Below are 14,931 nucleotides of genomic sequence, written 5' to 3' on the forward strand. Positions count from 1 at the left end.
AGCAAACCTTTCAAGGTTGTTTAGTGTTAATTATTTTCATGAATAACATTTTGGTCATTTCCAGAAAAAATTATAAAGACTTATTAGCAACAGCTTGGTTTTATGTTCAGATTAATTTTAAACATTGTTTATTACAGAGCAAACATTTGAGTGGAATCTTCCAGGGCTCTCCATGCTACCTATCTGGATTCTCCAGAATCTGAAAATTATCAATTGACTAATATCCAATTAATTTGGGTGAAATTACATCATAAAGATTCCTGTAAACAATTACAGTGCAATCATTTCAAAAAGATGATTTATGATAACAGTGGCTGGCATTTGATTGATCAGCTAAGATTTTAAGTCATTGATCTACAAATAGCCCTTTTCACATGTCCAGTTGTTCACAGTCACCGTTCACAGAGCCTATCTCTAGCGGGTACCTTATTCAACTTCACTCAGCTTTTAAGAAATATACCAAGGAGGCCTTCTTTTAAAAACTGAGTCAAATTTTATTTTTAAATAGGCAATTCACTACTTGATTACTATTTTAAAAAGATCAGAATTTCTATGTTTAAAGAATAGATGTATAAAAATAACTTTAATGATTTATTTTACAAAAACACTAACAAGTTGAACAAAAAGTAAAATCCTGTGAAAAGAGAACTTTCCAAATTTTGATAATTTAAAAGCCATTACCATAGGCTCTATGATCATACAAATCAAACTGCAACCTGCATCTATATCGATCACTTCAACAAGGACTTTATCTGAGCCTCCAACAGGTGAGTTAAAGGTCTGCTGGGATCAGCTAGGAGCCAATACATATAAATGCAAAATTTATGTGAAAATGGCAAAAGGTGATACTCATGACTATGAAGATATCAGAGTTATATCTACTATTTCTAAACATGAATGAACCATTGAAGATAATCTGGTCACAGATTCTTGAGACTGTGCAGAAACAGGAGACAGATGAGACAATGGCAATGGCTATAGCTTTAAAGCATGGCACAAAAACCAATTCTTTCACTCTAATGCCATTCCTCTTCTACGCATTTTTACTATCTGCACAACTTCCATGGGCCATAATTCATTCAAGAGTCCTATTCTCTCATTCTCAAGGACCATATAGCATGTAACAATGTTTTGTGTCTTATAGAATATGTAGAATAATGAAAAACATCCAACCCAATCATGCAACCAACATTGAATAAATTTATTTTCTATTATTCAAATTATAAAATATAAATTGAAAGTGAAAGAAGACAATATAAGCAGAAAATAAAATACAACAAATGACATTTGGTCTATTCAGGGAAGAAAACATGGTTTTATTAAGTCAATTATAGTAACTATAAAGTTACCTGTGCTTCTGAAACATTATAGTGTCCTGGACCTGGAACAGCTTTCTCAATGCTAGAGGCAATGGTAAAAGTACTTTCTCTGGCAGTCAAAGAAAGAAATGGTGCATTACTACCTATAAAAATAAAATCATATGACCAGCAGATAAGATAAGAGTCCAAGGATTTCAGAGAAAAACGCTCAAAATATATATAATCATGAGTATCCTCAATTGTTAAGACTTTATTTTCAGAACTGTCTAGTCAGAGAAGTTATTACATTTTTTAAAATCTGATATAAGATCAGAATTTTTATTAATATATTAAATATAAGAACCTAAAGAACTTGACTTATTGAACAACAACAAAAAAAAAACTAAAGAAAATAAAGCACTCTTATCTTCTAATCACTTTTGGTGGGGATGAAAATGGCAATTATATTTAGCTGATAAAACATTTTCATCCTCAGAAGACCATTGTTTTATATTTTTAAATAGCATATATTATTTGCAGAAAACATCATATATAAACTTGTAAAGACACCCTAGATGGAAATAATTTAAAGTGGGTTTACAGCAGATAATTGGTCATGTCTCCTTGCCTAGGCACATAGTTTGTATCAGTAAATATTTCTTGATTGGCTGACCCTAAACAAAGGTTTACAAATACAAGACACAAATTTCTTTGGAACAAGTAATTATAAGATTATACAAACTTGAACACTCTACTGAAAAACTGGTACTAAAAAATTCAAGATCTGTATTGGAAAAATTATTAGTGTTTAAGCAATGTGGATATCAAAGAAGAGATGGGAGAGAATAGAGCAGCAGCTATATTCAAACAGGTAATAAAAGAATGCAAGTGAAGACTCAAAACTTTTGCACTAAATCTTGTATACTAAAGGAAAATGTGTGCTACTGTAAGAATGTATGGTGATAATCAATATAGTAAAAAATCTTGCTAATCTGGACTAATAATAAAAGATACTCTATTTAAAATAAAATAATGTGTTTCTTTTGAGGCCCACATGTATTAAAATGCAACCAATGTCAAGAATTATTTATTTGTGTTAGGTATTGCAACATAAAAGAGGTGAGCAAAATATAGATCTTACCTCTAAAAAAGTAATATCTTGAAGCATTGAGAAAAGTATTGAAATAATTTTAAAAAAGGAAAAACATCTCTAATGCCATAATGGAAGACACATGCAAATTCAGAAAGAAGAGAAGTTCTCATCCACATTGAGATGATCAGGAAAAACTTCATGGATGATGTTAAAATTCAAGGTGTTAATTTAGTGACTGATGGTTTTAGCTGGTTATCCCAAATCAGAGAAGAAGGGAAGAGGAGAGGGAAAGGTAAAAGGAAGGGAAAGGGAGGAAAGAAGGCAGACTGACCTTCAAATAAGTTACAAAGACCACAAGACCAGAAATCCTTAAAAGTAAGCCAAGGTTCATTTTGAAAAGGCAACAGTTGTCTGGTAGAGCTGAGAAATTCAGGACACCAATGAAACATTCTACTTACTCAGGGTAAATAGCCAGAGAACAAGAACCAGATTTCATTCCAAATACATATATAAATACACACACATACACACTCAAACTACATATAAAATGAATCATACAAATTACCAGAGAGTGTACTTTCAAGACTCAGGAAAATATGACCCATAAAGAGGAGAAAAGTCAATGAAAAGAAACAGATTGAGAAATGAAAAGGTGGAATTAGCAGACAAGAATACTATATATAATCTATTATAAATATCCTTTATATATTCAACAAGGTAGAAAAAAGATGAACATGATGAGAAGATAAAGGGAAGATATAAAAAAGACCCAAATCAAACTTATAAAACAAAAAATACACTAGATGAAATTAATAACAAATGTTTGTGGATTAATAAAATACATTTTTTCTCAATTCTTAATCCCTTTAAAAAATAAGGTGCTCCTTGACCTGTGATGGAGTTACTTCCCAATAAAACCATTGTAATTTGAAAATATAGTAAATTGAAACTGCATGTAATATACGTAACCTATAATAGCATAGATTAGTTTAGCTTAACATGCTCAGAACACTTACATTAGCCTAACGTTGGGGAAAATTACCTAACACAAAGACTATTTTATAATAAAATGTTGAATATCTTATGTAATTTATTGAATACTGTACTGAAAGTGAAAAATAGAATGGTTGTGTGGGTACTGGAAGTTTGGTTTCTACTGAATGCATATTACTTTCACACCATTGTGCAAAATTTTAAAAAAATGTAAGTTGAATCATCATAAGTAAAGGACTGTCTGCAATTGCTTAAAGCAAAAAATAGTCTCAATTTATTGAGGCATTATAGCAGATGTAGAAGTAAAATGTACAACCACAATAGGACAAAGGGTGAGCTGGGAGAAATGGAAGCATACTTTGTGAGGCTTATTTACTATATATGAAGTGGTACAATATTATTTGAAGGTAGACTGCAATAAATTAGAAATACATATTGTAAACCCTAGGCAACCACTTAAAAATAAAACAAGAGAGGTATAGCAAATAAGCCAATAGTGGACATAAAAAAAGAATTATTTTTTAAAAACCTTTATTCCTGCAACAAAAGTAGGGAAAAAGGAAAAAGAACAGATGAGATAAATGGAAAGCAAATAGCAAAAGAGCATATTAAAACCCGAAGATACTGATAGTGAAATTAACTATAAAAGTTCTAAACACCTCAGTTAAAAGGCGGAGATTGTCAGATTGAATAAAAAAGTAAGACCAAACTTTATGCTGTCTATAAGAAACTCTCTTAAGACATAAAAACAGAAATTAAAAGGATGGAAAAAGTTATAACATGCATCCATGAATCCAAAAAGCTGGAGTGCCTATATTAAAATCAGACAAAGCTGGCTTTAGAACAAGGAATAACAGGGATAAAAGATATACTTCATAATGATAAAGGGGTCATTTCATCAACAGTATTTAACAATTCATAAAGAAAAGCAAGGAAGTTATTACCATAATAATCAGGATAGTGTTTAACTGTAGGGCAGAAAGAAAACATTGAAATAAAAAAGGCCAAAAAGAAAATTTTGGCAATGTTCTATTTCTGTTTTCTTTTGCTTTTTGTTTTTGTTTTCCTCTTCCCACTGATGGCAGATCTATTTTTTAACTGAATATCTTCTTTTTAAGGTCTACATTTATATTTTATGTGATTTTCTATGTAAGTATTCTATCTCACAATAAAAGGGTTTTAAGTTTAGGTTCATATGAACACTAAGGTAATCTGAGATAAATATGAAAACTAAGAAAGTGAAACCCAGGCTACTTCTGAGGTAGTTGGCATCAGAACACAGCAGGGCCCCTAAATGAATCTACCTTAAACAAATGTAAAATTAGTTGCAGAGTACTGAAATTCATATAAAAGTTAAAAAAAATACACTAGCCATGTACTCAACATATTATTAATATTATTAATGGTAGAGTATACATATATATGAAATAATTGGGCAATAAAGAGAATCAAGAAAGCTGGTACTCATAAAATCTTCATTGAAGTTTTCCAAAATTAATTATATAGAATCTTTTGTCAATAAAAGTATACGAGAAATATTGAGCACAAGTAAAACTACAAAAAATTTAAATGTTTATAATGATACACTCCATGAGAGAAGGAACTTACCTGTTTATTTATTCATAGCTGTGTGCCTAATGTTTACAGTGAGGGTGACCAATTAACAAATGATATTCTAAACTAGTCATCCATTCTGTAATAGTGAATGTTTTATTATGTATGGGAGACATGCATGTATGATAGGCAGTGAGAGTACAATAATGAATAAGATAAAACTCTGCCCTCAAGTAGTGGGTAAGCCTGACAAATAGACAATTATGCTACAAAAATCACTGCCAATAATTAAAGTATAAAATATAGAAGAGTGTTCTGGGGAATTAGAGATGGTAGAGTTTGATATGGGACATATGGATATATTGACAAGTGAAGTGCTAACTACAAATTATAAATCAAACTGACAGAAAGAAGAAATTAAGTGTATAGAAGAGGAGATTTGAGAAGAAAGAAATGAGTTCAGTTTGGGATATATTGAGTTTGAGGCACCAACAGAGGAAGATAAATCAAACTGGTATGAAGCAATAAAAGTCAGTCTACGCTGAGAAAGAAGGTGGGCAGTATGTGATTAAAGGACCAATTCTATAGTCACAACTACAGCCACAAAACAAAGAAAACGGCATTTTTCACATATAAGCAGTAATTAGATCTTTGAAATATGTACTCATCTTCAGGACAACAACATATACAGCAATCACATACATATTATTATCTAAACTTTAAAAAAGATAGATTGCATTCCCTGATGCAGCTATATTCTGATAGGCAAATAAGAAAAAATTATCATTGTTGGCATAAGCACATAGGCACAGGTATGAGACCATAGCCAGCTTATCCTTCTGTGGCAGATAAAGCTAACCACTCCCCCACCAAAAAAGAAATCTGGGAAAGAATATTTTTAGGAGATGATGTCACCCAGCTTAGCTAACTAATAGAGAACCAATAGATATAACTGATATACAGCTGATATTTATTACATAAATAAGCCAAAAAGCAATGAAATACTCCTTGGCACGATAATGCCAGGAGTAGTCACATTAGTAAAAGGAGTATGTTTTTATCACATTATACTAGGCTGGTTGTCTCTGGGGAATATTTACTTTAATAAGAGATGTTTGCTTCTCAGGTAATCTTAAGAAATTCAGGCATAGCTCTCACTAATCTCGAATTTGAGTATCCACTCTCTCCTACCTCATGAAAGCAGAAAGAAAAGCAGCTTAGTCCTGTCCCTTCAGGTTGAAATTCCTGGGTAGGAGAGATTCTCCCTGATCAAATGGCCTACAGCCACGGAAATCGAGTTTCAATTAAGGTAAAAAGAATTTCCTGGGGAAAATGTAGAGACAATACCCTGAAGGACTGGCCTGGCCAAGCAGGCTACAGTGAGGGGACAGTGGGAGAACAGCAGTTAGGAGAGAACGGTTGGAAATAAAGAGTATCTGTATCTAAGGCTCTAAGGTCTTTTCCTCTTGTGAAATTCAAAATAACAAGTAAGTTATATAAAGTCCCTACATCTGTTCTTCTCACATCATACTCCATAAAATGAACCTGACCCTTAGCTGAAATAATTGTACACTTCTGCATAGTCCAACGTGTTACTGGTCCTAAAGGTAGGTGAGGTAGTTTGTACCTAGGAAAGAGATGGTAGCTACTTTTAAATTATCTTTCAGAGAATCCAGCAGAGAAATCACTAAAGAGATACCTGTTCCTTCTATTGATTATCAGCATATTCTTAGTATTGCTAAAACAAAATGTATAGGATGCAGCTGCTCAAATTTCCCCAGCATGGAATTTCCTACTTTATCTCATAGATCAACAAGACACTATCCTATAAAACAGTAAAAGGGTTTTACCACACGCTCCTTACTTCTCTCTAAGCAAAGTTACAAGTTACAAGAGTTTTAAATTACGCTATATGTGGCTCATTATATTTTAATTTTATTTCAAGATTACTGTTTGTTTTTGAACTTATGTGTTATGGTATTCACCTAAAAACTAGGAATAATGGAGTAAAGATCGTGGTTATTGCCCTCAAGCAGCTCACATTTTAGTGGGTCTGCCAGATAAGTTAACATTAATTACAATATAGAATCAAAGTGCTATAAAGGTCATTAAGGAGTCAGAGAAGAAAAACCTGAGAAAGAGTAGTCAGTGAACAACTTCACTTTAGCTGAATCTCAAAGAATAAATACAAATTAGCCAAGTGAAGAAAGAAAACAGTGTACTGGACAAATGTATCAGCAGATACAGAGGCACAGAGGTGAGTGAGCATGAACTTAGGAAAACTGTAAAGTTGAAATTGCTGAAATGTAGGTCAGGTGGAGGTGGAGGTGTGGGAGATGAGGTCAGGGCCCAGAACATGAAGAACATTATAAACAACATTAAGGAGTTTAGATGTTAACCTTGATATTACAAAGGATTTTTTTTTCACAAATAATGTAATATATCTTAGAAAGATCACTCTTGCCACAAGATAGAAGATGGATTGAAGACTGAAATAAGGAAAAACAAGTAATATTTTATATGTTTAATTCAAAATAGAAATAATGAGAGCTTGAACTAAGTCAAGGACAGCTAAATGGAAAAGAGGAACTAATCAAACAGGCACTGAGAAGATAGAATCATTAGGTGTTAATGATCAACAGGAGTAGTCAGGGAGAAAAGAGTCTAGAATAATTCCAAAACTTAAAGTTTATTATAGACTAATAGGGAATTTTTAAAAAGGGACCAGTATTGCTGGAAAAAAATTTTAAAAGGGACCAGTATTGCTGGAAAAAATTATGAGCTCAGACACTTAAAACTTCAGATACCGGAGACCATCTAGGTAGAGATGTTCAAAAAAGTAACTGGTTATGACTCAAGGACATCAACAGCAACAAAAAAAGAATTAAAAAGAAGAGAAAAACAAACAAAAGTGATTGGCAGTGTTGAAAGCCGAAAGATTAGGAGAAAGCTCACCTTAGAGACATAAATCACCTGTATCTCTTAAGATTTCCTTCTGGGAGTCATCAGAATCAGAATATGGATAGCAAATGAGAAAGTACACACGAGAAAAGTAACAAGCAAAGGATTGGAAGTACAGTACATAAACATTTAAAGATGTGTCAAATGAGGACTAAGCTCTGATTTTTTTTATTTTGCCCAAATTCCTATCTAAGGGGTCTAGGGAGTCACGCCCTACAAACTATACATTCTTATCAGATGGATTTTATTTAATCCTATATATAGTGGCTTACTTTCCAATCTGACTCTGGCATAACATTATGAGACAAGGAAAAAAAATCAAAATGTTTTACCTAAAAATATATTTCCTTGCCATACCTTGAAATTGCCCTGCAAAGTCTCTTGTGGGAAAAATCAACACTCTATAGAGAATACCCTTTCCCCTTCGTTTTCCTTCCTTTCCAGATGCAGGAGATAATCAACTAAGAGCCAGGCACTCTTTTAGGTCTGATAAGAAGCATTTTACAACCTGCTCCCTCTCTCTGAAGTCTGCTATCTGAGAGTTTCCTCTGCACAACAAAACTTGGTCTCCACAATCCTGTATCTTAACCTGAACATTTCTTTTGATGCCAGTCTTCAGATAGACTCAACCAATTGTCAACCAGAAAATGTTTAAATTTACCTATAGCCTGGAAGCCCCCACTTTGAGTTGTCCCGCCTTTCTGAACAAAGCCAATGTATTTATTAAGTGTACTTGATTAATAACTCATGCCTCCCTGAAATACATAAAGCCAAGCTGTACCCCAACCACCTTGGGCACATGTTCTCAGGACCTCCTGAGGGCTGTGTCACAGGCCATGGTCACTCATATTTGGCTCGGAATAAATCTCTTAAAATATTTTACAGAGTTTGACTCTTTTCATCAACAAGAAACATAAAAACATTTAAAGAAGGCCATGAAGGACTGCTTGGAGAGGGGGAGAAGATGATGCCCTGATTCGGCATTTAACAAATGTTTATTAGGTCCCAATCATGTTCCCAGACACTCTTCCAAGACAGTAGTTGGGAAAAAAAAAAAAAAAAAAAACAGGAGGAAATGATGTTACATTTTGGAAAGAAGTGTTTCCAAGAATAAAGTGGTCAGTTATGTCAAAATTAAGGATTGCAAAGTGTCACAGGGGGTCATTGTTAGCCATTGTTAGGGGAATTAATGCTTATAATGCCCAACTCCATTAAAATAAAGATAGAATAAGCTGCAAGAATAGTGATACCAGATACTGTGAAGCAGTACAATTCAACATGTGAAACACTGACAGAAGTCAAATTTGTACTCCACCCCAAGAAACCTAAACCTTCCCTTATCTGATCAGTTATGTAACAGAATAATGGATCCTGGCATTTGCTTGAAAATACATAGTGTAGGTATGGGGAAAATGTAGGTTAAGAAAAACTATCATTTGGACGGTATTAAGCTCCAGAAAATCACCAGAATAGAAAAAGTAGAAAGCAAAATTGATGTATTTATTTTTGACTAAGTCACTAACTGCAAACAAACGAGGAGAGCAAATATTATTTAAATTATCCATCCCCACTCCACTGGTCAAAAATATAATTTTTCTTTACAGAATGTGGAGAAAAGGGGCTCCCCTGAAGTGTGTTAAAAGAGATGAGGACGGTCAGAAAAATCTGTCTGAAAAAAAAACGGAACTATCTTTAAATAATACTGCAAAATAGAAATATAAGCTACATCTTAATAAATAAATGTCTCTGGTTAATGGGAGGAAAGATGTGAGGCAGGCAGGATTACAAAGCAACGAGACAGCGGGAGGTAAGGGCACAGGATTTGGAGACTCATATATTATGTCAACACAGCCAGGAAATCAAAATCCTAGACCTAAACTGCACAATCAAAAGTAGGATGTAGACAACTATTGCGGAATCAAAAGTCCTAGCCATATGCTCACCAGCCTTTTGAAATGGGACAAGTGATACTATCAGTCTCATCTGTAAAATAAAAGTATAGTGTTTTCCCTGCCTACTTCATGTTTTGTTATGTTTACAAAATGGTACTATTCCGCTCTATGTTTAACTCACAAGCACGCAGAAGCGGAGCAGGCTGAAGATAGGATGCCTGTCACAGGAGCTCTGCCTCTTCCTACATCTTACCTGTCGCCTGCTGCTTCAGGAAAGGTACCTGGTAGGATCCAGGACCCACATGGGCCTCAGTGCTGCCACCTTCAGCCAATTTGAGCAGGCGGGGAGCCCGATCATACATAGTGCTCGGGGTGGTGGGGGCGCTGGGGAAGGGCAGGTGCCGAAAACGATAAAAACAAGGTAGCTAGAAGTGTGGAGAAAAAGGAAGCCGACACCAGTCTGAGGAGGCCGGGAAAGAACTTCCGTAAACAGGGAAATTAGGGGTGGGGTTGTCTCCCCGCCCGCTCATTGATACCAGATTTCCTCAAATCGATTTCTAGCTCTGTGGTAAAGTAGAGGGGTGAGCGACTAGAGATTAGACGTCCCACACAATCATCAGTTTGCCAGGTGCACGCCACCAAAATTGGGTATTAGGGATTAGACGCTCGCCCCGGTGCTTCCGGCCCTGACTCCGCCCACTTCTCTCCGCCCGGAAGCCTGGGGAGGAGGCGGGCCCAGTCTCTGGGGAGGAGGCGGGCCCAGTCTCTAGGGAGCGAAGTGGAGGTGCCTTCCTGGGCCGAGCCCTCGGAGCATGCGCACCGAGCAGCCACCCTTTCCCGGCTCTTTTTACCCGGAACCCGGCGCGCCTTGAAGAAGGCAGGCCTAAACCTCGTAGCTCTTGGGGTCCCGGTAACTACTTAGGTCCCGAACTTTTTTAAGTATGCAGAAGAACCTTAGAAAACGCGTTAGGAAGGGTGAGGACTAACTTGACCTTGATCTGCTTCCCGACTCAACAGAACCTAGTAAAGAAAAATGCAGTAGCATGAAGCAGAGAGCTTGGGGTTCCGCAAGCTCTCCCCCGCTTCTACTGCAGCCCCACTCGTACTCACAGAGAAAAGGCACCTCTGATCTTAACCTGTAGATAGTCCAAACTGCTAAGACAAACCCAGGGCTCAGGGCAGTGACAAGAAATGGAGAACCCAGAAAAAAAAATAACAAATAAGATAAGGGTAAAAAAGAAAAAAAAAAAAAAAGAAATGAGGACACCAGGCAAGGAGGCGAAAAGCTCACCAACTGAAGCCGTGGAAGTGACTGAAAGCTGCCTCTTTTGTCGTATGCCAGGTAACCACAATACTGATTCATCAATATTTAAAAAGCAAAGCGAAGGCACTGAAAAAGCCCAGTCCACCCCACCAAACCAATGATTCTGAACCTTGGGCAAAAGAAACCTTGCTTGTCCTTGGGGCTTAAGGAATCTATGTCAGAATCCACCTCTGCATCTCGCAGGCTGTTTTTTCTAGCAAGAATTCTGTCCAGATTATAAATATCCTCAGAGGCTTAGACAAATCCTACCTTGATCATACCTCACCTCCAAATGGTCTACAGTACGTTAATTTGTTCCTACTACAAGTTTTTATAGTTTTCATACTCTGTAATACACGATTTGCCACTCAATCCTGTGCAACATTTACTGTGGCTTCATTGTGCCATATAGGTCGGAACCCTCTCCTTGCGAGGCTATATGCTTCTCAAGGATGTATCTGTAGTACCTTTTTTTCTGTTCAATAGCTAGCTAAATTATTTATGCACTTAAAAAACACGAATTGGCATATACTGTAGGTTCCATCCCTGCTAAGTTATGAGGATACAAAGGCATAAGAAAGTCCCTGCCCTCAGGTGTTCTCTCTCTAATGGGGAAAGAGACGTATAATCCAAAACGAGAGGTGGCAAAGATTTTTTTTAATGGTAGGAAAATGAATATTGCAATATTTTGGAAACATCTCACCAACTTCGATTCTCCCTGCATTCTGTCAGAAACCCTCATAATTCTCTCAATGTTGTTTTAACCTTATTTTCCAAGCTGCCACCTATACCCATTCAGAAGATCTAGATATTTACTATGACATATTAGAAAGAGTCACAGAGATGAAAGAGAAAAATTCATGTGCTGTGTATGATAATCCAGTGGTGCTTGTAAATTTGCCCGCTATGTCCTTAAGGACATCATTTGACCTTGATGATCCAAACAAGGATATCAACCCAAACTGCATACTCAGGTCTAGGCCATGGTTGCCGTAAGCATTGATGCAGAATTTCAAGCCCTGTCTGGCCATTCTGTCTGCAGTAGTCTACATTACTCTTTGCTTGAATATACATATTTTTGGAGATTGGAAATGGAAATGGTAAAGCTGGCTTTATATGCTTTCTGTCTGATTTGATTTTCAGCCATTGAATGTAACCTAATTTAGACAAAGGGAGTTCTTCATAGCACCCTTCCTAGCTCATTTGCAGACCTCTATGGGAGAGTTTCTGAGTACCAGCTAGGAAAACACTGTTTATTTACCTTGCCTGCCTCCTGAGTGAATGCTTTTTCCTCAAGGACTTCACAGAGATGGGTAGCTGATCAATGGCAGGACCCCAGTGTTTGTGGGTCTTCTGGCCAGATCCTACCTAAATATTACACACTGAAGTGCAACCTATATACTCTTCATAATTTGGTAATTGGTCTCTCAAAATTCTGCATTCTTAACAAAAAAAAATCTTTCTTTTAAAAGTTTCTATGAGGCCAGGTGCAGTGGTTCACACCTGTAATCCTTAATCCTAGCACTTTGGGGGGCCCAGGCAGGAGGATTGCTTGAGGCCAGAAGTTCAAGACCAGCCTGGGCAACATAGGGAGATTCCACCTGCACACACACAAAAATTTTTTTTTAATTAAAAATTAGCCAAGTAGGAATTTGAGATTACAGCAAGCTATGATGGTACCACCGCACTCCAGCCTGGAAGACAAAGCAAGACCCTGTCTTAAAAGAAAATTGTTTATGAGAACACTTGGACACAGGAGGGGGAACATCACACACCGGGGCCTGTCGTGGGGTGGGGGAAGGGGGGAGGGATAGCATTAGGAGATATACCTAAAGTAAATGACGAGTTAATGGGTGCAGCACACCAATATGGCACATGTATACATATGTAACAAACCTGCACGTTGTGCACATGTACCCTAGAACTTAAAGTATAATTAAAAAAAAAAAGAAAATTGTTTGAATTTCCTTTTCAAACAATTCAAATAGTATGAAAATTTCTATTTCCTTGATGACTGTGGCTACTCTCTATATTTCCCAGCTATTATTTCCTCCTTATGGTTCAGTAATGAGAATGGTACACAGTATTTCAAGATTGGAAAATATTTTTTAATGAGAAAAATAAATCTTTTTCATTATCTCTCATTGTAAATATTTCTTCAATAGTCTGGAATTAGTATACTAAAAAAAATATGTTAACACAGAATTATAATTACATATAAATATGAAATAATTTGGTTCAGCATTTCTCAATTCCTCCAAAAGTTTTAATGCTAATTAACCACACTATGTAAACATTTTACTGTATTAGTAATTCCATAGATGGAATTTTTGTTTGAGCTAAGATTTATTGGAGTTCAAAATTTAGGTTCTTTCCATTTCTCCCTGCTGGCTTATACCAGAATAAACTTCAAAATGAAGCTTGAACAAGAATAAGGTCCAAGAAATTAAACTGATTCAATACTGAATATGTTGGCTGCAGTGAAGAAGAGAAAAAGCATATTGGGTAAAAACTAAAGAAATCCAAATAAAGTATGGAGTTTAGTTAATAATGTATTAATATTGTTTCATTGTTTCTTCCTATTTGCTAATTCCATCTACACATACACAAAAAAAAATTTTTTTTGAAGACAGGGTCTTGCTTTGTCTTTCAGGCTGGAATACCATGGTACCATTATAGTTCACTGTAATCTCAAACTCCTGCCTGCTATAGGAGCAAATAGCAGAAACTCTCTATGGGTTATAGATTGAGTTTCTCTCTGTACTTTATAATTTTTCTAAAAATCTAAAACTTTTCTGAAATAAAATTTTACCTAAAAAACAGGCATGAATACCAGATGAAAATTACAACTAAGTCTTACATAACTTAAAAAAGAGATAATTCCAATGTTATTTAAAATATTCCATATTGTAAAGAATTCCTTCCATTTTATTCATGAATGTATATAACTTTAATACTAAAACATGTTCAAGAATCCACCAAAAAAGAATAATACAATCAATCTCTACCATAAATGTGTATCTAACAAATAAAATGAAACATTAGCAACCAGAATCTAGCAATGCTTTTGTATGATAATATATTAAGACCAAATAAGTAAATTCTCTAATTGCCTGGATAATTCAGTTTTAGAAAACCACTACATAATCTTCTACATTAATAAATTATCAAAGAAAATAATATATGTTCATATCAATAGATGAAGAAAGGACAGTTGAGTGATCCTCCTACCTAGGCCTCCCAAAGTGAAAAAAAAAAAAAGGAAAAGCATTTGATAAAATTAAAGAGCTATTTGTAATGATAATTCTACATTTAATGGAATTTGAGGAATACTATTTTAATATAATAAAAAATACCTTAAAAATTAAAATCAATAAAGTATTATCCCAACCAGCAAATACTAAAACTATTTCAATTAAAATAAAAAATAAATAGAAATGCCTCTATCATTATTACTATTATCTAGTAATGGTGTATCATGCTTGCTTCGACAGTACATATACTAAAATAGTGGTGTGTCCATTGAATACAACAAAATTAAGTAAAATAACTGGTATTAGTTGGAAAGAAAGATATAAAAATATCTCTTTTTGCCTATGATGTAATTGGATGCCAAAACAGTACAGGAAAATGTAATAAATTACCCTAAGATTATAAAAGAATTAAGTGCAGTGACCATATTAAAGTTAAATATATAAAAAACAGTAGTTTTTATCTATCCTAACAATTACCTAAAAAGGAAATTGGAAAAAAATCTCATTTTCAATAAAGACAAAAATAATGACAGAATTATGCAAAGGAAAGGCATAGAATCTAAACAAAGAAGATAGGAACAAA

General features: G+C 35.0%; 1 protein-coding gene across 6 annotated transcripts in view, besides 1 other annotated feature; it reads right to left on the reverse strand.

Moving 5' to 3' along the window:
- Nucleotides 1-10,479, reverse strand: part of STPG2 (sperm tail PG-rich repeat containing 2) — a 702,228-nt gene extending 691,749 nt beyond the window's left edge. For all 6 annotated transcript variants that reach the window (XM_047450118.1, XM_017008049.3, XM_011531886.4 and 3 more), the window contains exons 1-2: nucleotides 10,045-10,479; nucleotides 1,350-1,462 (exon numbers count right to left, since the gene is read on the reverse strand). In XM_047450118.1, the coding sequence (XP_047306074.1) occupies nucleotides 1,350-1,462; nucleotides 10,045-10,153 (222 nt within the window). In that variant the 5' untranslated portion in view covers nucleotides 10,154-10,479. The remainder of the gene's footprint in view (nucleotides 1-1,349; nucleotides 1,463-10,044) is intronic.
- Nucleotides 10,206-10,305: an enhancer, noted in NCBI's record as "active region_21732". NCBI's record gives its function as "activates an Ori minimal core promoter by ATAC-STARR-seq in GM12878 lymphoblastoid cells {active_cell/tissue: GM12878}" and the evidence as "EXISTENCE:reporter gene assay evidence [ECO:0000049][PMID:35858748]".
- Nucleotides 10,480-14,931: the final 4,452 nt, after the last annotated feature.

The sequence above is a fragment of the Homo sapiens genome, chromosome 4, assembly GCF_000001405.40.
Source record: "Homo sapiens chromosome 4, GRCh38.p14 Primary Assembly".
Taxonomy (NCBI): Eukaryota; Metazoa; Chordata; class Mammalia; order Primates; family Hominidae; genus Homo; species Homo sapiens.